This window comes from Homo sapiens, chromosome 14, assembly GCF_000001405.40.
Source record: "Homo sapiens chromosome 14, GRCh38.p14 Primary Assembly".
NCBI lineage: Eukaryota > Metazoa > Chordata > Mammalia > Primates > Hominidae > Homo > Homo sapiens.
In genome coordinates, this window is record NC_000014.9 from 73,320,974 (window position 1) to 73,347,925 (window position 26,952).

General features: G+C 39.1%; 1 protein-coding gene across 5 annotated transcripts in view; it reads right to left on the reverse strand.

Annotated features, from left to right (window-relative positions):
- The window catches only part of NUMB (NUMB endocytic adaptor protein), a 183,331-nt gene that overhangs the window by 45,758 nt on the left and 110,621 nt on the right, over positions 1-26,952 (reverse strand). For all 5 annotated transcript variants that reach the window (NM_001005745.2, NM_003744.6, NM_001005744.2 and 2 more), the window contains exon 5: positions 2,157-2,231. In NM_001005745.2, coding sequence (NP_001005745.1) covers positions 2,157-2,231 — 75 coding nt within the window. The remainder of the gene's footprint in view (positions 1-2,156; positions 2,232-26,952) is intronic.

Below are 26,952 nucleotides of genomic sequence, written 5' to 3' on the forward strand. Positions count from 1 at the left end.
TATTTGTGTACTTTTTTGGTTCATTTGTATTTTATACAATAAACATATTGCTTATATAATAACGAGATATTTCTAATTAAAAGTATTTCAAAAAAAAACAAAGCTAGACAGGTAAGAGGATTAACTGCTCATTAAACAACAAAATACCGTTTCTCAATATGTTCTGGGCAAACTTAAACCACCTCTAGCTTTTCCTTACTTACAGAGTGCACATGAAGTCATACTCTGAATCAAAAGACTTTCTAAAGGCTCATTCCACAGTGGCCATTTCACCATAAGTTGTGTAAATTATAAGATTTTAATAATTATTTATAGTTTGTTTCAGGGCTATCTAGTCTGTTCACTGTTTTCAGTCATTAGTATAAAATATTATTTAATGGGCAAATAACTGCATTACTTTAAAAAAATGTTCTTAGCTAAAATCATCTTGTTTGTGTATTTATTTAGTTGAGACAAGGGCTCGCTGTGTTGCCCAGGTTGGTCTCAAACTCCTAGACTCAAGCAATCCTCCTACCTCAGCCTCCCGAGTAACTGATATTTTGTTTATTATTATTCTAGATAAACCCGGAATTATTTTGTTAAAGAAAATTAAATTTTTACTTCTCTTTTAAATTTGGTTTTGACAAAATGGAAAATTAAATTATCTGAGACTATGTTCAACTGGGGAATATATTTAGGTTGGCATGGAAGGTCTACAAACTATAATTTCATGTACCATAACACAAGGTCCCCTTAACGTAATGACAGATTGGGAGAGCACAGATAAGACTAGCAAAGGCTTGAATCATTTAAGAATTTTAATGATCAAAATCTGAGATAAAGAGTATGTATAGGTATCTATGTATGTATATATGTGTAGGTATGTCTGTATCTTTTTTTAAAATTTTTTAGTTCTTTGTATATTATAGCCAATTACTTTTCTCTTTTCCCTTCTATGACAGATTCAGGTATTTATCCCAAAATTAAATCTACCTCTCTGACTTGGTTGCTTTTTCTCTAAATTTTATATATTTTATATTCAGGAATTATAGATAAGAAGTAATATAGACTATGCCGAGAAGCACAAAAGTTCTGATTACTAAGCAAATTGAGGGAAAAAAGCACACATTAGTAGTCAAACTTGTGGCAGCCCACCATACCAGCAAACCCAAAGCAACATGTATTTAATGCTGTTGGGACCAGAGCATGCAGAAGTAATGCTTAAAGCTTTCACAGCAAAGTGGGGAAAGGCCACATATTAGAGAGAAGGAGGGTTGTGAAAAGGGCTATCAGATCTATGGAACATTCCTCAAACCTATGGAAAATCTGAAATTAACACTTTGAATCTTTATGAATTCCGAACTCGTTCTTTCCTTTCACTGAATACACAGGCATGTGCCTGGGATGTGTTCTATCGCATAACAGGCAGAGGAAACGTTATCCTGGGAAAGGGCTCTCTACTTCAAGTGTGCTAAAGTTTATGTAAAAGGCAGTAGAAATAGACTGTTTATGTTAGAGGTGTATAGAGAAGAAAATTGGGGAGTAGGAGTCAAGGTAATAGTAAGAAGTCTCCAAAAAGGAAACCTCACCAGGCATCAACACAGACCTCTATCCTCTAGTTTTCCCCAGGAAGCTATTTTTTACAGTATATTTAAAACCCCTAATTTATAGCCCAGTTATCACAGTTAGGGTAAGATGTTAACTGTAACAGTTTAATCCTAGTCTTAGAATACTATTCTTCTATCAGATTTCACAACATTTGTTTCATATGGGTTATAAATCAAAAGTACCTTTAGGATAATATCTGGCCTAAATTTAAACGGCTCATCTAATAATTTATACCTCTGGATGGGCAACATGAGATGCTTTTAAATTTTTTAATTATTATTTTATTATTTAAGAAAAAATTTTTGAAATTAATAGAGACAGGGTCTTGAAATGTTGCCCAGGCTGGTCTCAAACTCCTGGCCTCATGTAATCCTCCTGCCTCAGCCTCCCAAAGTGCTAGGATTACAGGAGTGAGCCACCGCGCTTGGCTGAGATGCTCCTTATTAGCAAGCCCACATCTTTTTAACAGAAACACAGTTTTTACTGGGTCACTAAAATGTACTGAGCAAAATCTTTTAAGAAAATATTGATAGCATATAGATCAACACTGGCAACCATCAAATACATACAGCTTTCAATCTTTTTACAGCATCTTCACAGATGTGCATTCCTCTTGATTCATCAACTTCTACATGGCCAAGGTACTGTAGAAAGAAGGAAAAGTTAGGGCTATTGCTATGTTTACCAAGTAGCTACTATACAGTAAGCATTAGGTGAAAATTGAATACAGGTTGAACATTCCAAATCTGAAAAAATTTGAAATCTGAAACACTTCTGGGTGTCAAGCATGTTGGATAAGAGACACACAACCTGTATTGAAATTCCTACACTCAAGAAATACACAGCCAGTGAAAAAGAGTTCAGATAATGTAACTTTACATATTCTCAGTGTCCTCATAGGAATAAGATTTAGAATAATTATTTCAAAAAGGTGTTACAGGTGAGTAAGTGAAGAAGTACACAGTAGGCACTAAACATTACCTGAATCTACTGGATCTGAAGCATAATAGCCTGCGCTAGACACAGTTACTATGTCTCTACACATAAAAGTAATCCTAAGACAAAGTATATATACATATCTTTTAAAAAGCACAAACAAAAATGACAGTTTTTCAAAGACTGAAGAAATCACACATTCCTTTTATGGGGAGCATATAAGAGCATGGCAGATCACCAAAACAAATTTTATGAAGGTATTACATCTGAGCTTGAAAAGATACATAAAATTTGAAGAGGCAAAAATTGAAAGGTTGAAAGACTATTTCAGGCTGAGAGAAATACATAAAGTTATAGGTGTGGAATAGGATAACTATGTATCAGTGCTGGGACTCAGAACACGTTACCCCAAAGTATGGTGCTGAATGCTTTGAACTAAAAAAGAACCAAGGTCTGACCTTCTCTTGACCTCCTGACTCTAACTCCTCCTTCTCCCCTGAAGAGCAGGAGGGGCTTTCTCTGAAGCTCTCTTATCTGCCCAAAGATAGATCCTTCAAAAAGGAGCTCAATTGTTATTTATGCCCTCCCTGGGAATCTTATCAACTGGGGTAGATTAACTGTATCACAGAAGAAGAGACTAACGGTCAACACCCCAGACTCTGTCACAGGCTATCACCTATTCTTCTGAGGGCTGCTCCAGACAACTTGTATTATAGGAGAGACTTTTTATCTGCATAACAAGGCAAGCTTTGCTCACCGTGCATTTCCTCCCCTCATAGTCCCATAGGTTGTCACCACCTCCCCTCAAGTCCCTATTCCTTTCTGTAGCTCAGGATGCCATAAAAATGTCAATCATCTGGCCTTCAAGTTTGATATTTTGTGAGACTCTTATGTACAAACACATAATAAATTTTGCCTTTTTTTTTCCCTGCTAATCTATCTACTGTCAGTTTATCTCACATACTCAAATACTGAATGTTCAAAGGGTAGAGGGAAAGTTCTCTTCTCCCCAGCATCAACAAATAGTCTTGTTTGGCTTGAATATGAAATACATGCACCTGGGGAATTGAGGTGCTAAAATGGCACTTAACCCTAGAGACAATGGAGAACTAACAAAGTTTTTTTTTTTTTCAAGGTAGTAATATGATTCAAGGTCTGGTTGCAGGTAATACGGAGTAGACACACTACACCCTGTCCTTCCCACTGACTGAAACCTTAAAACCTGAACAGAATTCACAGAATAGGTACTTAAGCTTTCTGAAAAGTAAACAGAAGATGAATCAGAGTAGAATACCAGAATTCAAAGTACTATGGAAATGGCAAGGAATTTACCTCCCCTTTCTCTCTTTGGTACCTCCAGACTGAGAAAATAACTTTCATCTGAGGAATGCAAGTCCTTTTAATTATCAGGCCAATAGAGACATTAAGATGAGACTGCAATCACGCTCTACTACCCACTTTGACCCATGTATCCCTCTCCTGAAAATGCTTGCTACTGCCACAAGTAGCTAGAAATAAACCTAATAATGTCACACCAGACACTATAACCCACACCCTACCTATTGCTTAACAATGTATAGCCAATCACTAGTCAATGTTATTTCTGTAAACCAATGAGAATTCCTGACACACAACTTTTTATCAGCCCACTCCCTGTCCCCTTCTTTTGCTTTTAAAACTCCACTTGCTTGCTGGGTATGGTGGCTCAAGCCTGTAATCCCAGCACTTTGGGAAGCCAAGGTAAGAAGATCATCTGAGGCCTGGAGTTCAAGACCAGCCTGGACAACATAGTGAGACCCTGTCTCTACAAAAATAAAAAAATTAGCACACACCTGTAGTACTAACTATTCAGGAGGCTGAGGCAGAAGGATTGCTTAAGCCCAGGAGTCCAAGGCCGCAGTGAGCTATGATCACACCACAGCACACCAGCCTGGGTGATAGAGAGAGACCCTGTCTCTAAAAACCAAAATGAAATGAAGAAAACTTTTTAAAATAAAAAACAAAAATCCACCTGTAACTGCTAACTGAAGTATACATCCAGGGCAACTTCAATCTATGCTTCTGGGTTGCAATACTCAACCTTGGCCCAAATAAACCTTCTACTTACATTAATTTTGCCTCAGCTTCTTCCTTTTAGGTTGACAAGCCTGAACTTCTAGCCAGAAATCCAAAAGCGAGTGCTGTGATACAGAAAGATGTCTGGGAAAATCTCTCTAGCTCTGGTTTGAGGACCAGGAAATGGAACTCCTAAAGCTCAGAGAGAGTACAGGAGTCCCCCTCTCTTTTATTGGTTCTCTTACATCTCAGCCACCAGGAAATCCTGTGATGGTGTGATAGCAGCAGAGGTAGCAACAAAAGAAACCCCTGCAAGAGCCACACCTCTAAGGCAGGGGGAACTGCCTCTCTGTTTGGTAGAATGGTGATTCCAGGAAGATGGGGCCAATCCCCCTTTTGCTTTTTTCCTTTCTCTCTGATCTCCTGCCATTTGATCCTAGATACAAGTGAAATTGTGGGACTTCATGGTAGTGCAGGCCAACCAGAGCCCTAGGTTTCTGGCTAGAGGTCAAGAAAGGGGAGCTCCAGGGAACCAGAAAGTACCAAAGAAGGCACAGGAAGGGAGGAGCTTGAGAAAGACCATGAATTTGTTTGTGAATTCCTAGGCTCACCCTGCAGCTGCACAGGTAAGAATCTGATTCTAATTAGCATACTCAGGACTTTGACAGCTGAACTAATATACAGACCACCTCCTGGTTCCCAAACTGACCCCTAGGTGACATACACACAGAATAGATCAGAATAGCACCGCAGATCAGAATAGCATTGCAGAGGCTTTGAAAACTAAACTGATGGCCGGTCGCGGTGGGTCACGCCTGTAATCCCAGCACTTTGGGAGGCCGAGGTGGGTGGATCACTTGAGGTCAGGAGTTTGAGACCAGCTTGGCCAACATGGCGAAACCCCGTCTCTACTAAAAATACAAAAATTAGCCAGGCATGGTGGCAGGCGCCTGTAATTCCAGCTCCTCGGGAGGCTGAGGCAGGAGAATTGCTTGAACCTGGCAGGCAGAGATTGCAGTAAGCCGAGATCACCCCATTGTACTCCAGCTTGGGCAACAAGAGAGAAACTTTGTCTCAAAAAAAAGAAAAAAAAAAGAAAAAGAAAACTGAACTGATATTGGAACCACATCCCACAGAAAGTGAGTAAGAACTTGTAGCCTGAGACCTAACTGGACTGACTGGCATAGGAAATGTTCATTAAAAAGGAATTAACATTTACTGATTACCTACTGTGTGCCAGAAACTGTGCTGGATGCTTTATATATTTTGTCTAACCTAATAACTACTCAGAAAGGTATGTTTGATCACTTGATTTTAAAACTGAGGAAAGGAAATGAGGTTCAGGAGTGCTGAAAAACTTTCCCAAAGTCATACACACAGCTAGTCAGGGAAGAATATGGTTTACATTCATGACTTCAAAGTCCAAAGTTCTCACACTTGACTTTACCACAATTCAAGAAAACTTTTCCTGATTTTTCATTCCTATTATAAGGAAATTTAAAAAAAAAACAGGTTCTTTCCACATTTTTTCCTACAATTTTTAAAAATAAGAGTCCTTTCCCTGGCAAATTCTTCCTCTGGCAGGGCTGAAACTGTCAATTACAAGTGAGCCTCTCTGAAGACTCAGTGAAAACATCTAAAATAAGTTCATCATTATTCATACTTTCTCATTTCCTCTCAAGTTACAGAATTTCCACTTGGAAGAGAATTATTATTATTTTTTTGAGACACAGCCTCACTCTGTCGCCAGACTGGAGTACAGTGGTGCAATCTCAGCTCACTGCAATCTCTGCCTCCCGGGTTCAAGCGATTCTCCTGCCTCAGCCTCCTGAGTAGCTGGGACTACAGGCGTGTGCCACCACACCCAGCTAATTTTTGTATTTTTAGTAGAGATGGGATTTCACCATACTGGCCAGGCTGGTCTCGATCTCTTGACCTCGTGATCTGCCTGCCTCGGCCTCCCAAAGTGCTGGGATTACAGGTGTGAGCCACTGCACCTGGACTTGAGAATTATTAATATGAGGCGGACTAGGAGGCTTAATGACATTTTGGAATATGGTGCTGTAAAAGTACATCATTATTGAGCAAAACTAAAAAAATAGTTAAAAATCTAGTATCTGCAATTTCTGAGTAAGACTGGTTCTTAGAGATGACTCTAGCTCATATACATGGTCCTGTAGGACATAGATTTACTCATTTTTAAAAAACATACAGTAAAATTCACTCTTTTTGGTTTAGAGGTCTATGAGATTTGACAAATGTATACAGCTGTGTAACTACCACCACAATCAAGTCTGATCACTCTCAAAAATTCCCTCATGATGCCCATTTGTAATCAACTCCTCCGCCTGCCCTCCCCCACCACACCCAGTCCCCAGCCTCTGCAACTACTGATCTGTTTTCTATTCCTATAATTTTGCCTTTTAAAGAATTATCATATTGGCTGGGCGTGGTGGCTCACGCCTGTAATCCCAGCACTTTGGGAGGTGGAGGCAAGTGGATCACTTGAGGTCAGGAGTTTGAGACCAGCCTGGCCAATATGGTGAAACCCCATCTCTACTAAAAATACAAAAAGTGGCTGGGTGTGGTGGCAGGCTCCTGTAGTCCCAGCTACTCAGGAGGCTGAGGCACGAGAATTGCCTGAACCCAAGAGGCAGAGGTTGCGGTGAGCCAAGGTGGCATCAGTGCACTCCAGCCTGGGAGACAGAGCAAGACTCCATCTCAAAAAAAAAAAAAAGTCATATAAATGGAATCATACAGTATGTTCTCTTTTACCACAGAGTAGTATTTCATCATATGCATATATCACTATGTTTATCCAATCACCAGTTGAAGTATATCTTGGTTATTTCCGGTTTTGGTGATAATAAATAAAGCCATACTATTCCTTTATAGGTTTTCATATAAGAAATTTGGTCATATGGTAATTGAATGTCTGACTTTATAAGATACTCTTTCCCAAAATGTCATCACAATTTTACCTTCCCACCTGCAATGTATGAGTTCCAGTTGCTCAGCAATTGGTATCGTCTCTTTTTTAAGCCATTCTAATAGGTACATAGTGGTATCTCTTGCCATTTTAATTTGCATAATATCCCTAATGACTGATAGTTCTTGGCATCTACTTATCCACATCTTTTTTTTCTTTTTATTTGTATCCACATCTTATTTGATGAAGTATCTGTTTAAATTTGTCTATTCTTAAAAAATTATGTTTCTTTCCTGTTGGGTTTAGAGAGTTAATAATACACTCTGGGTTCAAGCCTTTTGTAGACATGTTTTGCAAATGTTTTTTCCTAGTCTCTGCCTTTACTTTTCATTCATTTTTGTTCTGAGACGGAGTCTCGTTCTGTCGCCCAGGCTGGGGTGTGCAATGGCGTGATCTCAGCTCACTACAACCTCCGCCTCCCAGGTTCAAGCAATTCTTCTGCCTCATCCTCCTGAGTAGCTGGGATTACAGGCATGTGCCACCACACCCGGCTAATTTTGTATTTTTAATAGAGATGGGGTTTCTCCATGTTGGTCAGGCTGATCTGGAACTCCCGACCTCAGGTGATCCACCCGCCTCGGCCTCCCAAAGTGCTGGGATTACAGGCATGAGCCCCATGTCTGGCCAATTTTTCATTCTCTTAACAGTGTCTTTAGCAAAGCAGAAGTTTTCATCTCGATGAGGTTAATTTTTTTTAATATACTGTTTTTGGTATTATAGCTAAGCAATCTTTGCCTAGCTCAAGTTCTCAGAGGTTTTTTGATTTAGATTGTAAGTGCCACAATGGTAGGAAACTTGTACGTGTTGTATTCATTCAGGTATGGTAACCACTAGTGTGTGTCATATATAGTAGTGCTAAATACATATTTATTGCATGAATGAATTCATCTGAAATTTCAGCTTGAGCTTCTCCCTTCTCAGTCCTCTTCTCTCTCTCTTTTTCTCTCTCACAGCTGGGACACCCATCTTCTCTTGCCCTTAAACATTAATTTGCAGTTGGTTGACTCTATGGATGCGGAGGGCTGAGTGTATACGCAAAGTGTTTAGTATGTACCTAACAGTAAACACTCAGTATATTTTAGACTTTGAGCAAAAGTAGGATTTTAGGAGTTTCTGACTACTCTCTTTGAACTTCCCATAGCTTTCACCCTTAATACACAAATTAAACACTGATCCTTATTCCTCTCTTGAACTCCAGTACCAAGTTTTGACTCTCAGCTCACTGCACTTGTTACTTGACCTTGGGAAGGATACTTATCTTGTGACTCAGTAGTGTTGTTTCAAGAATTAAAAAGAGTTTATATATTTGAAGCACCCAGCGCAGTGTCTGGTAATCAGTAAGTGCTCAATAAAATTTTAACTGTTATCTGATTTCTTTGGTGGCCTTCAGAGCTTAGCTTGTTGAAAACTGCACCTCCTGTACCTCTGATGTTTGTATTTACCTGCTTATTTCTTTTACTAATACCTCAGGTCTCAACAGCAGGGGCAAACACTTCAAAGTATTTTCTTTTCTTTTGAGACAGGATCTTGCTTTGTCACCCAGGCTGGAGTGCAGTGGTCCAAACATAGTTAACTGCAGCCTTAGGCTCAAGCAATCCTCCCACCTCAGCCCCCAAAGAGCTGGGACTACAGGCACACACCACAACACCCAGTTAATTTTTGTATTTTTTTTGTAGAGATGGGGTTTTGCTGTGTTGCCCGGGCTGGTCTCAAACTCCTGAGCTCAAGCATTCTGCCTGCCTTGGCCTCCCAAAGTGCTGAGATTACAGGCTTCAGCCACCATGCCTGGCCTTAAAGTATTTTCCAGTTCTTCCTCTTCACTTGACTTTCAATCAGTTCCATATATATATTTTTTTCATAGTCACATTTCCCTGATCAGAAATTTTGTTGCTCTCAATTATTTGCCAATTAAGTAGAAGCAAAAAATGGTTAGGGATCAAATCCTTGATTTGCAGCTTTCTGGCTTCATGGTCTTGGGCAAATTACACGACTTGTCTGTGTATTACTTGTCTGTGTCTCAATTTCCTCATCTTCTAAAATGAGAATACAGCAGTAACCACTGGCAGTTTGAGGATTAAATGACTTAATACCTACAAAGTACTTAGAACCATGCCCCACACATAGCAAATACTATATATGTCTTCGCTTTTTAAGTACAGATTTAGTATAGTATCCCACGTGTTCAGTCTTGTCTACTGTTAGGGTTTTCCAGAGAGACAGAACCAATAGGATGGATGGATGGATGGTCAGATGGATAGATGAATGAATGAATATTTACTACAGGAATTGGCCATGCAATTATGGAGGATAAGAAGTCCTATGACAGGCTGTCTGCAAGCTGGAAACCCAGGGATACCAATAGTGTGGTTCAGTTCAAGTCCAAAAGCCTTAGAACCAAGGAAGCTGACAATACAACTCTCGGAGGCTGAAGGCCTGAGAACCTGGGGGTGCTGCTGGTACAAGTCCCAGAGTCCAAAGGCTGGAGAGCCTGAAGTCCTAATGATTTTCCACGCATATATTTCATAGTCTCTTCTATGGTCTATTATCTCAAGGTCTTAAAGTGCTAATTCTCTTGTTGTCTCTTATTGTATAATCCTTTATTATATCTGCTAATCATTCCTACATAAGATTTATAACATTTAAAAAGTTATAAGGTCATCTTTACTGATGCTAAACTTTTTGGGAGGAATTTCATGCATTCTGGATTATGAAATTTGCTTCTAGACTGGGTGCCATGGCTCAGGCCTGTAGTCCCAGCACTCTGGGAGGCCGAGGTGGGAGGATCACGATGTCAGGAGATCAAGACCATCCTGGCTAACACGGTGAAACCCCATCTCTCCTAAAAATACAAAAAATTAGCCGGGCGTGGTGGTGGTGGGCACCTGTAGTCCCAGCTACTCGGGAGGCTGAGGCAGGAGAATGGCATGAACCAGGGAGGCGGAGCTTGCAGTGAGCTGAGATCGTGCCACTGCACTCCAGCCTGGGCAACAGAGCAAGACTCCGTCTCAAAAAAAAAAATTTTTTTTCTTCTAAAAGATACCTGATATGGTTTAGCTCTGTGTTCCCACCCAAATCTCACCTTGAATTGCAATAATCCCCATGCATCAAGGGCACGACAAGGTGGAAGTAATTGGATCATGGGGGCTGTTTCCCTCATGCTGTTCTTGGGATAATCAGCTAGTCTCATGAGATCTTATGGTTTTATAAGCGTCTAGCATTTCCCTTGCTGGCTCTCATTCTCTCTCCTGCCACCTTGTGAAGAGGTGCCTTCTGCCACGATTGCAAGTTTCCTGAGGCCTCCCCAGCCATGAGGAACTCTGAGTCAATTAAACCTCTTTTCTTTATAAATTACCCAGTCTTGGGTATTTCTTCATAGCAGCATGAGAACAAACTAATACAGTACCCCAGCCGTATTACTATCCTAAGACCTATTTTACATTAATATGGGGATTCTTATACCATGCAGGGTTATGACTTATGAAGTCCAAACCTAGGATTTCAATTTTTTCTAGGAGGCTCCTTTTTTTCCATTTGAGTCCAGGCAAGCTTCTCTTTCTGCTTTTTCTTCTAGTTCTCTATTTCATGGATTGTAAAGCCCACAGGAGGTTCCAGTTCTATGCTGGGTTCTCAGTTCTAATTATCTGCTTTGTGTAAGTCCAGTGCCTTCAAAATGGATGGTGACACCAAAGACTTTAGCTAATAAATTCTTTTTTCTTTTTTTTTTCTTTTTTTTGAGACAGTCTCACTCTGTTGCCCTGGCTGGAGTTCAGTGGCATGATCTCAGCTCACTGCAACCTCCACCTCCTGAGTTCAAGCAATTCCTGTGCCTCAGCCTCCCGAGAAGCTGGGATTACAGGCGTACGCCACCACACCCAGCTAATTTTTGTATTTTTAGTAGAGATAGAGTTTCACCATGTTGGCCAGGCTGGTCTCGAACTCCTGACCTCAGATGATCAGATGATCCATCCACCTGGGTCTCCCAAAGTGCTGGGATTACAGGGTGAGCCACCACGCCCAGCCTCATAAATTCTTTCTCTCCTAGGCTGCTCCATCAGCTGTCATCATTCCTGCCTTGCTTTCAATTCCCTTTTAATTTCTATTAACAGGAGAGATGTGTCTTCACTGAAAACTCAGCTATCCAGAGAAAAATATTGTTTATTTGTTTAAAAATGTATTCAACCCCCCGATTCTAAAATAAAACAACATTAAGCAGTTGTCTCCACTGCCCCTCCCCACAGCCCCCGGCAACTACCAATCTGCATTCTGTCTTTATGGATTTACCTATCCTGGATATTTCACATACAGGGAAGCATACAATATATGGCCTTTCATGTCTGGCTTATTTTACCTAGCATACTGTTTTCCAGGTTCATCCACACCATAGCATACATGTATTTCAATGCTTTTCATACCTGAGTGACATTCCATTGTATGTATGTACCACAATTTTGTTTATTCATACTACCATCAATGGACATTTGGACTGTGGTGAATAGTAGTGCTATAAACATGTATTTTTCTTGAAGTACCTGTTTTCAATTCTTTGGGGGTATATAACTAGCAGTGAATTGCTGGGTCATATGGTAATTCTATACTTAGCTTTTTGAAGTACCACCAATCTGCTTTTCACAGAAGCTGAACCACTTTACATTCCCACCAGCAATGTATGAGAGCTCCAATTTCTCTACATCCTTGCCAACACTTGTTGTTTTCTGTTTTGTTTCAAATTATAGCCAACCAAGCGAGTGTGAAGTGGTATCTTTGTGGCTTTGATTTGCATTTCGCTGATAATGATGTTGAGTATCCTTTCAAGTGTTTGTTGGCTAGCTGTATATCTTCTTTAGGTAAATTTCTTTTTTTTTATTTTTTAAATTTGAGACAAGGTCTCACTTTGTTGCCCAGGCTGATCTCGAACTCCTGGGCTCAAGCGATCCTGCTGACTCAGCCTCCAAAAGTGCTGGGATTACAGGCATGAGCCACTGTGCCTGGCCTTCTTTGGAGAAATTTCTATTCAAGTCCTTTGCCCATTTAAAAATTAGGTTGTATTTTTTGTTGAGATATAAAGGTTCTTTATATATTCTGGACACTAGATCCTTATCAGACATATAATTTCCAAACATTTTCTCCCATTCTATAGCTTCTTTTCACTTTCTTGATAATATTCTTTGATGCACAGTAGTTCCTAATTTTGATGAAATCCAATGTATCTATTTTTTCTTTTGTTGCTCATGCTTTTAATGTCTTATTTAAGAATCCACTGCCAGATCCAAAGTTGTTAAGACTAGCCTATGCTTCCTTTGAAGAATTGTATGGTTTTAGATTGTTGATCCTTTTTTTTTTTTGAGATGGAGTCTTGCTCTGTTGCCCAGGCTGGAGTGCAGTGGCGCGATCTCAGCTCACTGCAACCTCCACCTCCCGGGATCAGGCAATTCTCCTGCCTCAGCCTCCCAAGTAGCTGGGACCACAGGCATCTGCCACCATACCAGGCTAATTTTTGGGGGTTTTTTGTGTGTGTGTGTTTTTTTTTCGAGATGGAGTTTCGTTCTTGTTTCCCAGGCTGGAGTATAATGGCACAATCTCGGCTCACTGCAACCTCCACCTCCCAGGTTCAGGCGATTCTCCTGCCTCAGCCTCCCAAAGTGCTAGGATTACAGGTGTGAGCCACCGCTTTAGTATTTACTTTTAGATCCCATTTGTTGCTATTTTTGTGCCTATTTGTTCTTTTCTTTTACCCAGACTGCTCATCTGCGATACTTTTTCATGTATATTCATCAGCAGAACTGCTCTATTGTTTTCTTTTTTTGCACTATCTTTATTAAGTTGTTGTAGCAGGATTTTGTTAATGCTATAAAAGTATCTGAAAACTGTCCATTATTTTCCTATATACTCTGGTATAGTTAAATAGCACAGGAATTACTCTTTGAGTGTTTGACAGAACTGACCTATGAAACCATCTATATTAGTTCCTTTTAGATAAAGAGACAGTTTTTGGTTTTGTTTTTAACAGCTCTATTTTTTTAAGGTTTGGGGCCTATTCGACTTTTCTTTTCCTGCCTTAGTTAACTAGTAATGTATAGTTTCCTAGAATATTTACAGCTAATCTAAAATTTTAAATGTATTAGCATAGGCTGGGTGCGGTGGCTCACAACTGTAATCCCAGCACTTTGGGAGGCCAAGGTGGATCACCTGAAGTCAGGAGTTCGAGACCAACCTGGCCAACATGGTGAAAAACTCCGTCTCTACTAAAAACACAAAAAAATTAGCCAGGAGTGGTGGTGGGCGCCTGTAATCTCAGCTACTCGGGAAGCTAAGGCAGGAGAATAGCTTGAACCTGGGAGGCGGAGGTTGCAGTAAGCTGAAATTGCGCCACTGCACTCCAGCCTGGGCGACAAGAGCAAAACTCTGTCTCAAAAAAAAAAAAAAAAAGGTATTAGCATATACTCCAAGTATTCACATATCTTAATTTCTTTGGGTTCTGTGGTTGGGTCTCCCCACTTTCTTATCTGTAGTATTATATACCTGTGCTTTCTTTCATTTTCCATATTAAGGCTCATTTCTACTACTACCTTCAACTCAATCCCTCAATGTTTTCATTTTATATTAATAATAAAATGAGAAAGTAGAGCTTTATGATCTCTGAGTTACCTGTAGGATCTGAGGAATGGATACAGGTTTCAAAGTATTTCCAATGGGCATCATTCTATCACTTAGCTTAATCAGTTCAATTGGTCACATATAGCTATTTATGCCAGCCAAAAAGACAAAAAAAAAAAAAAAAAAAAAGGAAGACTTGGTAGAAGGGAACAAAATTATTTCATTTATGAACTATTATAGAAACGTGGAAATAGAAATAAGCTTTGTGTCTTATTAGACTATGAGAAAAACATGCCCACTGAAATAAACATTATTAAAGAGATCCCTTTTCTTCTCTGAGACACTATCTCGCTGAAGAATTGCAGCTGATTTATGCTTAATGGCTAAAATATTTGACACTGGGACTTCTTTTGTTTGTATGCCTTTTCCAAACTCCTTCTGAGTAAGAAACTTTTATTCACAAAAATGTACTTTAGAAAAACTAGTATGTGGAATTTCATTCTTAGATGAATTAAGTCATTTTTCCCTTTCTTGAAAAAATTATTTAAAAAATAGATTCCCTCCCCCTGCTTTCGTGATTTATCCATCACAAGAAATGCAGACCTCTGATGTGAGAGACTCTATAGTCAGCAGTTCCCAACATTAACAAAAGTGACATAATATTCATCAAGTTATAAGGAGCTTTACAGCATCTTAACACATACATACATAGCCTATGCTATATAGCAAACATAGTATGCAGATGCGCACAATACAGTAGCAAAACTTGTTTTGAGTCTTTAACCAAAGAGGAATAGTTAAATTAAAATGGGCTATTCTTTAACTATAAATTTGGACTACAATTCCATCTGAATAGACTGTATGACCTAAGCAGATGTGTTTAATCATGTAAGTTTAGAACTGAAAAAAATGTGAGATCCCAAAACTTTACTTTTCAAACGTGACATAAGGTGTCCAAAAAGTGAGTTATACAAGGTCATATAACTTAGTAAATTAACAGAGCCAGGAACAGAACTCTGCTCTTTTGATTTCTAGATCTATCTTCTTTCAACTACCTCATACAACCTCTCTGTTAAAGCTTACCTGCAACTCTCCTATTTAAGTCATGGTTTACAGTTTACTGTTATTACATATATTAACTTATCATTATTCTTCTTTAAAACAAAGAGAAGATGACAGAATTGGAGTACAGTTATTTTGCAACCCTTAATGAATAAACCCAGGCAAAGATCATGAAAGAACTACTGCTATTTTCATCACGAGAGAATGATAATCAGCTATTGCGTGCCTTCTGGGGAATTAAATATAACCAAGCCTCTAAAACTAACTACCCATTCAAAAGAAGTAAAGAAAACAAAGGAACATGTTAAACAAAATGAGTTTTGGGCATTCTCATCTTGCTAAGCAGAGAAGGATTAGATTTCAGGACCTACCAGAGGAATGGGCTACACTGAACACCCCAGGCTTTCATCTGGAACAACTGGAAAAGTATGGCCTAGGAATGGAAGTAAATCAGAGGAAGACAGAGCCTTGCCAAAACTATAATCCAGCCTCAATTCTGTTAATACAAAATTTCACAAGGGCATTATTACAAGAAAGGAAACTTTACAGGCCAATCTGTCTCAAAAACAGATGTGAAGTTTCTGAACAAAATATTAGCAAACAGAATCCCTTAATATACTCAATAAATTCAGCTTGATCATGATGAGTACTAAGCTGAGTTTATTTCAGGAATGTAAAGTTGGTTGACTATTCAAAAAATCTAATCAGTGGAATAAACCAATTAACAATTAAGATAAAAATCATAATCATCTCGGCTAGGCATGGTGGCATGCGCCTGTAATCCCAGCTCTTTGAGAGGCTGAGGCAGGCAGATCACATGAGGCCAGGAGTTCAAGACCAGCCTGGCCAACATGGTGAAACCCTATCTCTACAAAATATACCAAAATTAGCCGGGCGTGGTGGTGCCTGCCTGTCTCAAAAAAAGCAAGACTCTGTCTTTAAAAAAAAAAAATCATAATCATCTCAATAAGTACACGAAAACTTTTGCTAAAGTTCAGTTTTCATTCATAGTTTTAAAAATATATCTTAATTGCCCAGGCATGGTGCCTCACACCTGTAATCCCAGCACTTTGGGAGGTCAAGGTGGGCAGATCACTTGAGGCCAGGAGTTTGAGACTAACAAGGCAAAACCCAATCTCTACTAAAAATACAAAATTAGCTGGGAGTGGTGGTGCATGCCTGTAATCCCAGCTACTCGGGAAGGCTGAGGCATGAGAATTGCTTGAACCTGGGAGATGGAGGTTGCAGTAAGCCAAGATAGTGCCACTGCACTCTAGCCTGGGTGACAGAGCACAACTCTTGTCTCAAAAAAATGTATCTATATCTACATCTTAACTAAGAATAGAGGGGAACTTGCTTAATTTGAGAAACTGTGATAAGACTGAAAATGAGGCAAGAATACTTGCTATCACCAATTCTACCCAGTGCTGTACCACAAGCTCTGCCCAGTGCAATGAGGCAAGAAAAAGAAATTATAAAAATTCAAATGGAAGATATACAACTGTAATATTCATAGACTATATTATTGTGTTAGTAGAGAAAACAAAGAAGATTCAAATAAAATACTATAATAACTGCATTTAGTAAGGTTGCTAGATCTAATTTCAATATACAAAGTGGTTAATATTTTTATAACAGCAATAAGCAGAAAATTATATTTAAAAATTTACCATTTACAACAGCATCAAAACTGAATGCTTGATTTCATCCCCCATTCACAAATCTACTCTTCTATCAACAGTCTTCCCCAAATTAATATATGGGAACTCCACCCTTCCAATTGCTCAAATCAAAAACATTGGTACAGTTCAGGTGCAGTGGCTCACACCTGTAATCCCAGCACTTTGGGAAGCTGAGGTGGGAGAATTGCTTGAGGCCAGGAGTTTGAGACCAGCTTGGACAACATAGTGAGACCCCCCCACCCCCAACCTCTACAGAAAAATTAAAAATCAGCCAGGCATCTGTATGTAGTCCCAACTAGTCAGGAGGCTGAGGCAAGAAGATCACTTGAGCTCAGGACTTTGAGGCAGCAATGAGCTATGAATGTGCCATTGCACTCCAGCCTGGGTGACAGAGGAAGATCCTGTCTCTTAAAAAACAAGCAAAGAAAAAAAAAAAGTTAACTTATCGTTCTCTTGTGACACTTTACAAATCTATCAATAAATGATATCAGCTCTACCTACAAAATATATCCAGAATCTGACCCTGTCTTACCACTTCCTCTGCCATCTCCCTAACATAAGTCACATCATCTTTCATCTGGATTTTTGTAAAAGCCTCTTAAATTATCTCTTTGTTATCACCCTTGCTCATCTATAGCTGATTCTCAGCACAGGAGCCAGAATGATCCTTTTAACATATAAGTTGTATAATCCCACTCCTCTGTTTAAAACTCTCCAATAGCTTCCTAATTATTTCCTTTTATTCATTATGAATAAGAGCCAAAATCCTTACAATGGTCTTTATAAGGCCCTACACCAGTAGTTTGTCAATGGGGAGTGTTTAGAAAATGTATGCGGGCATTTTTGGTAACAATGACTGGGAAAATTATTCCTGGGTAGCAGATGAGGGCCCATGGATGACAGCTATCTGGCTTCCTGTTTGACATCTGAATGTCCTACTGGACTTTCACTTAGAAACTTACTCATAATTATTTTAGATTAGATGTAACTCCACTTTACATATAAACACACAGTATTTTTTGCACAAATTGCTGTGTCAATCAAAGGAAGGTTGTACTTTGATAAGAATTTTATCAGGAGTTGTTTACCACTTCAGAAAATAACATCACCATTTACAATCCACTGTGGTATATGAGTTACCAACACATCATTTCTGTCTACATTTGCAGGTATCTTACCCACTGCAATTCTCTGTAAAAGTGTACTACTTTAGGTCTTCTAGTATTGTTAGGGCCATTTACGTACTGGATATAATTTCATCTAAAATTTGTTATTTCTTCTTTATATACTTAATTATGTAAGCATAGGTAGGTTATACTATGTATGCATTTCATTTCAGATAGTATAAGGAATACTGTAGCATGTTTGTAGTGAAAATGTAGGTGATAGGGCTGACAGTATTGAAAAGTACTAAACCAATGGTCTGGTATCCTGTTACTTATCTAATCTCATCTCATCTCTGCCTGTACCTTTTGCTCTAAACACACTGGCCTCCTTGCTGTGCTTCCAATATACCAGGCACTCTCCTGCCCCAGAGCCTTTGTACTTGCCATTCCTTCTGCTTACAACCTACTTCCCTCAGGCAACCTGAAATGCTTGCTTTCTCACTTTCTTTGTGTATTTGCTCAAAAGTTACTTTTTCAGTGAGGGATTTCCTAACCATCCCATTTTTTGTTTTTGTTTTTTGGTTTTAAATAGACATGGGGTTTTGCTATGCTGCCCAAGCTGGTCTCAAACTCCTGGGTTCAAGTGATCCTCCTACCTCAGCCTCCCAAAGTGTTGGGATTACAAGCGTGAGCCACTGTGCCCAGCCATTAACCATTCTATTTTAAATTGTAACCCCTGCCACACACACTCCCTTCATACTTAACCCTCACCCACAACCCCTATCGTTTTTTGTTTGTTTGTTTTTTAGAACTGGCAAAGGCTATTTATTCAGAGCTTGCTAGCAATGAGGTTAGTTTGGTAGAAACTGGAGGGCAGGCAGAAGAGTGGAAAACCTTCACAGGGCAGGCTCCAGGAATGTCTAGATGGAGGCTGCTGGCCTGGGGAAGTTGGTGACAGACACTCAAGGCAGAGCATCCTATGTGACTAGCGGGGGATGGAAGTGGTGGGGGGGACACACTTGGCTTTCTCTGGTTGGTCCAGAGTTGGAAGCAGGCACAGAGATTAGGGAAGCTAGCAGTTACTGATTAGGCTCTGGCCATTTGAGGCCAAATGTTATAGAAGTGATTGTTTAGCCATCTGACTACACACTTGGCCTCTCACTGGCAGGATGCTGGGCCCTGGCTGCCAGTTTCTGCAGTTCCTTGCTGCCTCCTATGTGTAAACGAGCTTTCCAACCTTGAGAATAGTAGATTACGAAGACAGAGACTTACTTTGGATGGCCAACAGTAGCCCAGTGACCTCATGTCCCATGGGCCTCAGCTTCCCCACCTGACAAACGAGCAGTGGGGACATCCACTGATGCCCAAAAACCAACCCCACCCCAGGCAAACTGCGCCATCTGGCCCAGTGGCTGTTTACCTCAGGCTTTCCCCTCCCCCAGTGTGCCTGTCTCACATGCCTTGTCTCACAACCCTAATTCCCTTTGAACATACCAGATACTTTACATATTTACTTATTCATAGTCTAATACCCACTAGGATGTAAGCGTAGTGCAAGGATTTTGTCTGTTCTCTGCTTTGTTGTTTGCTGTATTTGCAGTACTTAGAACATTGCCTGGTACACAGCAGACTCCATAAATATCTGCTAAATACATCAATGAATTATCGGTCTCATAGAGAAGAAAATGTAGCACATTACTTAGCTCTATACTAAACAATATTAAAAGTCATAATAATGAAAACTTTTACAATAAACTCAAGACACAGAATAGGAGATTTAATTAATGGCTATAGGACAGAATGCAAATGACTGATATGGTTTGGCTCTGTGTCCCCACTGAAATCTCATCTTGAATTGTAATCGCCATGTGTCACGGGAGGAACCTGATGGGAGGTGACTGGATTATGGGGGCAGTTTCCCCCATGCTGTTCTCGTGATAGTGAGTCTCATGAGAGCTGATGGTTTTAAAAGTGGCAGTCTTTTTCCTGTGCTCACACTGAGCTGCTCTCTCCTGATGCCATGTGAAGATGGTCCTTGCTTTCCCTTTGCCTTCCATCATGATTATAAGTTTCCTGAGGCCTCCCCAGCCATGTGGAACTGTGAGTCAATTAAACCTCTTTCCTTTATAAATTACCCATCTTAGGTATTTCTTTATAGCAGTGTAAGAATGGACTAATACACTGACCTACATAATGTTACAAATAAAAGGAAAACAGCAGATATAAGTTTGAAGGTAAGAGAGTAAGGCGTTTTAGTATTTTTATTTTACGTGGTGGGGAATCAAGATATACTACCTAAAGTTAACGGAACAATAAATTTATGAATATAGGATACCAACAGTAGAACTAAAAATAATAATTTAATTCCAAAAATCTAGGTGGAAAAGGGTCAAAGGTAGAAGGATGTGTGGGTTAAGTCATCCTTTCTTTTTAGAGAACAGTAGAAAAATGGGTAAATTAAGAGTAGTCAGTAAAACTGTATTATTTTTTAAAAATTAAAACATTACCAATGGTAAAAGCACAAACAAAAATGGTTAAAAGTGTCACTATAGAATGGAAATGGGGTAGGAAAAGTGTTGATTGATTGATTGATGAGGTCTGCTATGTTGCCGAGGCTAAGTACAGTACAGGTAGGATCACAGACCCCTATAGCCTCGAACTTCTGGCATCAAACAATCCTTTTGCCTCAGCCTCCAGAGTACCTGGGATTACAGGTTACCATGCCTGTTGTTTTGTTACCACAAACTTGTATTACTTTGATTAAAAAATATTTTAAAGTTTAAACTATATTCAACATTGTTTAATAAACAATTTTTAAACTGTCATGAGTGATAGTTTTATATTATAAAACTACAATATAGTACTTAGGGAGAGAACCCTCTAGAGCTAAAGCTACTAGAGTTCAAATCCTACCTTCAAATAATCAGATATTCCAACTATTCCCTTACAACATCATGTAACAGAAATCTTACTGCATACTAGGCCACAAAGAAAATAAGTCCTTAAGAGTTACTAAACGAAGTTGAACTTCTCTCAAATACCTCATTGCTCTGATGCAAAGACATTTCTTTAAATTTAAAAAAAAAATTTGTTTTAGAGAGACAAGGTCTCACTATATTGCAGGCTGGTCTCAAACCCCTGGGCCCAAGTGATCCTCCCGCCTCGGCCTCCCATAGTGCTGGGATTACAGGCGTAAGCCACTGTCCCTGGCCCCATTTCTTTAAATTTGTATTGTTTCAGGTAGAAGAGCAAATTATGATGTTTGCCAGCATGCCAGCAAATTTAGCTATGAAGACGATGTATCTGCTCAACCAACTGTAACCTTACTTGATTTATTTCATTGGTACTACACATGGCTGACATTAAGTTTGGATCACTACTTGTCACACAGAGTTATCTTCCAAAAAGTTACACTGTGAGGCAGCTTTGAAATGAAACATTATTGTAGGTGCAGAAGATTGTCACACAGGCAATAAAATTATAAGCACTGGAAAATGTCCTATCTGGGATAAACAACAGAATTTTTAATACTAGAACAGGTTGGTGTGGTCAATGCCTATCAGTCAGGTACCAAACATCTATCAAAAGCTTCAGGCCAACATTCAAGAGAAGATATTTAATTTCTAGTATTAAAAATTCAATGAAGGAAAAAACATGCAGATAAAACCTTCAGTATTCAGTTGGCATCTAACCAATAACAGCAGCAGCAGCAGCAACTAACGTTTATTGTGCACTCATCACGTACCAGGCAGTGCTGTGTTTTTAATGTACTGTATTTACTCATTCAACTCTCAGAACACTTGCACACAGCTAATAAGAGCAAAGCCCAAATTCAAACTCAAGTTGTATAGCTTAAAAGTGTATGCTTTGTTTGCTTTGAGACAGGTTCTTACTCTCTCACCCAGTCAGGAGTGCAGTGATGCGATCATGGCTTACTGCGGCCTCTACCTCCTTACCTCAGCCTCCTGAGTAGCTGAGACCACAGTCACATGCCACCATGTCTGGCTAATTTTTTCTGTTTTTTTTTTTGTAAAGATGGAGTCTCCCTATGTTGCGGAGGCTTCAAACTCCTGGGCTCAAGTGTTCCTCCTGCCTTGGCCTCCCAAAGTGCTGGGATTACAAGTGTGAGCCTCTGTGCCTGACCACAAAAGTATATGCTTTTAAAGTGTTCCAGATACCAGTCTAGGATTTTATTACAGAGCCACTGAAGAACATGAGGTAGGTAAGTGACAAGACCATATCTGCAATTAGGAAGATCACTACTACAACACTGAGATAACAGTTTGGAGGAGAGACAGATTGGAAGCAAGAGTAGTAGAGTTCTTGTAATGGTCTAAGGGGGAAAAAAAGATAAGGACCTGATTAAAGTAGTGGCAGTAGGAAAATGAACAAGAGGACAAAAAGGATAGATATTTAAGAAGAATAAATATGATATAGTAACTACGGTTGACATTGTTAGTTGCCTACATGACAGGCATTCTTTCAACCAGCTTCCCCGCTGGAAGAACCTACCTCCCTTGATGGTACAGGCTGAAAATACAAAGTAATCGCTTCCTTAGCTTTCCTCACAACTATGGCTTGGGCATTTTATTCTAATCCTAGTCAGTGGGAATTAGTGGGAAGTCTCTGTGTGTATGTATGTAACGGGCTGCCTTATCCTAATACAAAAAACATTTGCTTCTTTATTCTGTCATTTGATACTAATGAGTGAAGGTACATACTCTTTAATTGGGTTGCTGGTTCCTGTTTGTTAATATTTTATCAAGAGCTTTGTGTTGATATCAAAAAGGAGATAGTCTCCTTTTTGGATGCTATCAAGTTTTGAAATACTATGTATGTAAAAAGAATTTATAGGCTTATAAAAGAAACTTATAAAGCTTTAGGAAACAGATAAAGCATCAATTTTGTCTTTGTAGTAAAGCTTTAATAGTATTCGTGTGAAATGATCTGGGCCTGGTGCCTATGTTAGGGGTTGGGGGTTGCCTAAGTTGGGGATAGAAGATAAGGTACCTCTTTAATATCTTATGGTATTTCTTCTACATGAATTGTTCTATCTATATTTTCAATTTGTTTTAGAATCAGTTTTTGTCATTTATATAACCTAAGAGTATTACCAACTTTATCTATGTTTTCAAGTTTATTTGTATAATAAAAATTTAAATTTTCAGTCTGTGATTATTTTCCCACTTTATTTTTTATTTTGTGCATCTTTGCTTTTATCTTGATAAATTATATTCAGCTACTTCTAATTTGGCATAATACTTTGCACCAAAATCTTCTGAAATCACAGGTTATTACATTTTACATGGTAGGTCAGCCACTGGATCAGAACTTGCCTCTGAGAAATACTGAAATAATAAGAGCTCTACTTTCTGTGCTATGGCTACATGGCTACACACAAAATAAGAAATGCTTGTTATTAAAATACTAAAAATACTATCTGTTCTAATTTCTAGCACAATGGCAGTCCTTATCTCAGAAAGGTGTGGTCTCCAAAACCATTTGGCAAATCACTTAATAGAGCAAAATGTTGGTTTAAGCGGTAAACACATGCATTTCTAGCATCCATATGCTCAATTCTCCATCTGGTCTATCCTATTTATACATGTTGGCACAATTCCTAGTAACAACTGAGTAAGTGCTTTATATCCCTAAACCAAAGGGATAGGAAAGCCCTTCCATCTTATTTAACAGTGAGTTAAAATAATGAGACCAAATAACATAAGTATGAATCCTACATTCAGCCCCTTAATCTCTATCTCTCCAAATCTGAAGAATGACCTCCAGAATTTACCCAATAGAAGATCCACTTCAGCATGCCATATGTTCTACATAATCTGGTAAGATTTTAATTACAAGTTAAATGATTAGCTAGGATTCTACCAATTTATTAACAATCAAAAATAATACCAGCATTAAAAAATATGTTAGTAGACAATTACAGGTAGATTCTTAGTATATTACTTTAATTGATGAAGCATACTGTTTAAATCCAGCAATCCCATTACTGGGTATATACCCGAGGGAATACAAATTGTTCTACCAAAAATACACATGCACTTTTATGTTCATCACAGCACTATTCACAATAGCAAAGATACGGAATCAACGTAGATGCCCATCAGTGGTGGACTGGAAAAAGAAAATGTGGTATGTATATACCATGGAAAACAATAAAGTCATTAAAAAACCTGAAATTATGTCTTTTGCAGCAACATGGATGCAGCTGGAAGTCATTATCCTAGCGAATTAACACAGGAACAGAAAACCAAATATCTCATGTTCTCACTTATAAGTGGAAGCTAAACAGTGAATACACATGGATACAAAGATGGGGAACAACAGACTCCGGAGCCTACTTGAGGTGGGAGGGTGATGGTCGAAAAACTACCTATCAGGTACCATGCTCACTACCTGGGTGATCAAAGCATTTGGACACCAAACCCCAGTGACATGCAATTTACCCATGTAACAAACCTGCACATGTACTCCTGACTCTAAAATAAAAGATTTAAAAAAATCAATAGTTCTCGAAATTTTTGGTCTCAGGACTTAATTACATTGAGGATCCCAAGGAGTTTTTTGTTTATGTCAGTTATAGCTACTAATAATTGCTGTAGTAGAAATTAAAAATAAGAACATTTGGCCGGGCACAGTGGCTCAAGCCTGTAATCCCAGCACTTTGGGAGGCCGAGGGTGGATCATCTGAGGTCAGGAGTTCGAGACCAGCCTGGCCAACATGGTAAAACCCCAGCTCTACTAAAAATACAAAAATTAGCCGGGCGTGGTGGCAGGCACCTGTAATCCCAGCTACTCAGGAGGCTGAGGCAGGACAATCACTTGAACCCAGCAGGCAGAGGTTGCATTGAGCCGAGATCGCACCAGTGTACTCCGCCCTGGGGGACAAGAACGAGACTTCATCTCAAAAAAAAACCAAAAAAACAAAAAAATTTAAAGATATTTAATTCATTTTAAAATAATTAACTCCATTGTGTGGTAACTTGAATAGCATATTTCTAATGAAAAATAACTATATTTTCCAAAACAAAGAAATTTAGTGAGAAGAGTGGCATGTTGTGATTTAATACTCGGCTTAGAACTCTTGAAAAAGTTCTGGGATCTCACTTTGAGAAGCACTAGATTAAGTTTCCTATGGGTAATATTTCATTTGTTACATTAAAATCCCTTCTCCATTAAAAAAATTATCTCTGTAGGCTGGGTGCGGTGGCTCATGCCTGTAACCCAAGAACTTTGGGAGGCCGAGGTGAGCGGATCACCTGAGGTCGGGAGTTCGAGACCAGCTTGACCAACATGGAGAAACCCCCGTCTCTACTAAAAATACAAAATTAGCTGGGTGTGGTGACACATGTCTGTAATCCCAACTACTCGGGAGGCTGAGGCAGGAGAATTGCTTGAACCCAGGAAGCAGAGGCTGCGGTGAACCGAGACTGCACTATTGCACTCCAGCCTGGGCAACAAGAGTGAAACTCTGTCTCAAAAAAAAAAAAAAAAATTTATCTCTGTTATACCAGCAGATAGAATTGCAAGACGAGCTCTGAAACCTACTTTAATTAATCATTACTGTTACCAATTATATAGATACTAATATATTTAAATATACACAGTGAAGATGAAACCAGCCGCAGTTGCACTTTATTATGGCTAGTAATGGCTCATGTTTCTATAAGCTTCTCTCTCCTATTCTCTAGCTATTTCATTGTCCTCAAAATCCAGTTCCTCAACTTCTCTATATCTGTCTTCACTTCCTATTTCCTTGAGAAAATAAGTCTTCAGAATAAAATTCCATCAATCTCAAGCCACTAATACCACAAACTGAGGTGAATTTCCAGCCTATTTTCCACCTTTGCTCCTGTTAAAATAGAAGCAGCATTCTTCCTTCATTTTAAAACTAATCCGTTCTCTACATGCTTCTTTGTAAAAAGCATTTAATTATGCTCAAGTAGTTCCCATCTTAATAACAAAACACAAAAGGAAATCACAGGTGATTTATTAACTTTGTTTTTTATTTTTTAGAGACAGGGTCTTGCTTTGCCATCAAGGCTGGGGTGCAGTGGCGTGATCACTGCAGCCTCTACCTTCCAGGCTCAAGTGATCCTCCCACTTCAGCCTCCCAAGTAGCTGAGACTTATTCACTTTAAATGAGTACACTTCATGGTATGTAAATTGTCTCTAATAAATCTGGTTTTAACCCCCCACCCCACACTCACATGTTCCTTAACCTCACACTATCTTTGCTACTACTCTGCTTTTTGAAGATAAACTTTTATTCAAAAAATTTTAACAGCTTTACTGAAATATATTTATATAAGAAACTGTACATATTTAAACTCTACAGTTTGCTGAGTTTTTCAAATATGTATATACCTGAGAAACCATCACCACAATCAACAACAAACACAGCCACCACCACCAAAGTTTCCTTATGCCCCATGTAATTCTTCCCTTCCACCACTCCCCCATCCTTATACAACATTTTCAGACAAGCTTGAATTAGATTTGTTGTCTCCTTCCTTATTTTGCATCCATTCACTCCTCAATCTGGATTCTATACTCAGGATTGCACTGCAAGTGCTGTCATTATCATCAAAGTCACCAAGACTTTCAAGTTTTTAATCTAATGAGGTTTCATTTCTCACTTGATCTCTTTACAACATTTGACCACTTTCTCCTATGTTGAAACTTTGGTTTCTAAGACCATACTCTCCAGGTTTCCCTTCGATCTCTTTGGCAATTCACTCTCACTCTCCTTTGAACAAGCCTATTTCACTGCCTGTCCCCTCTATGTTGGTATTCTTCAAAGGTTTGTTCTAGGCCATCTTCTCTCTTTCCCTAGGCAATCTCACCCACCCACAACTTTAATTTATGTACGGTCAGTCCGCATCATTCAAGGATTTGGCATCTGTAAATTTACCTACTCACT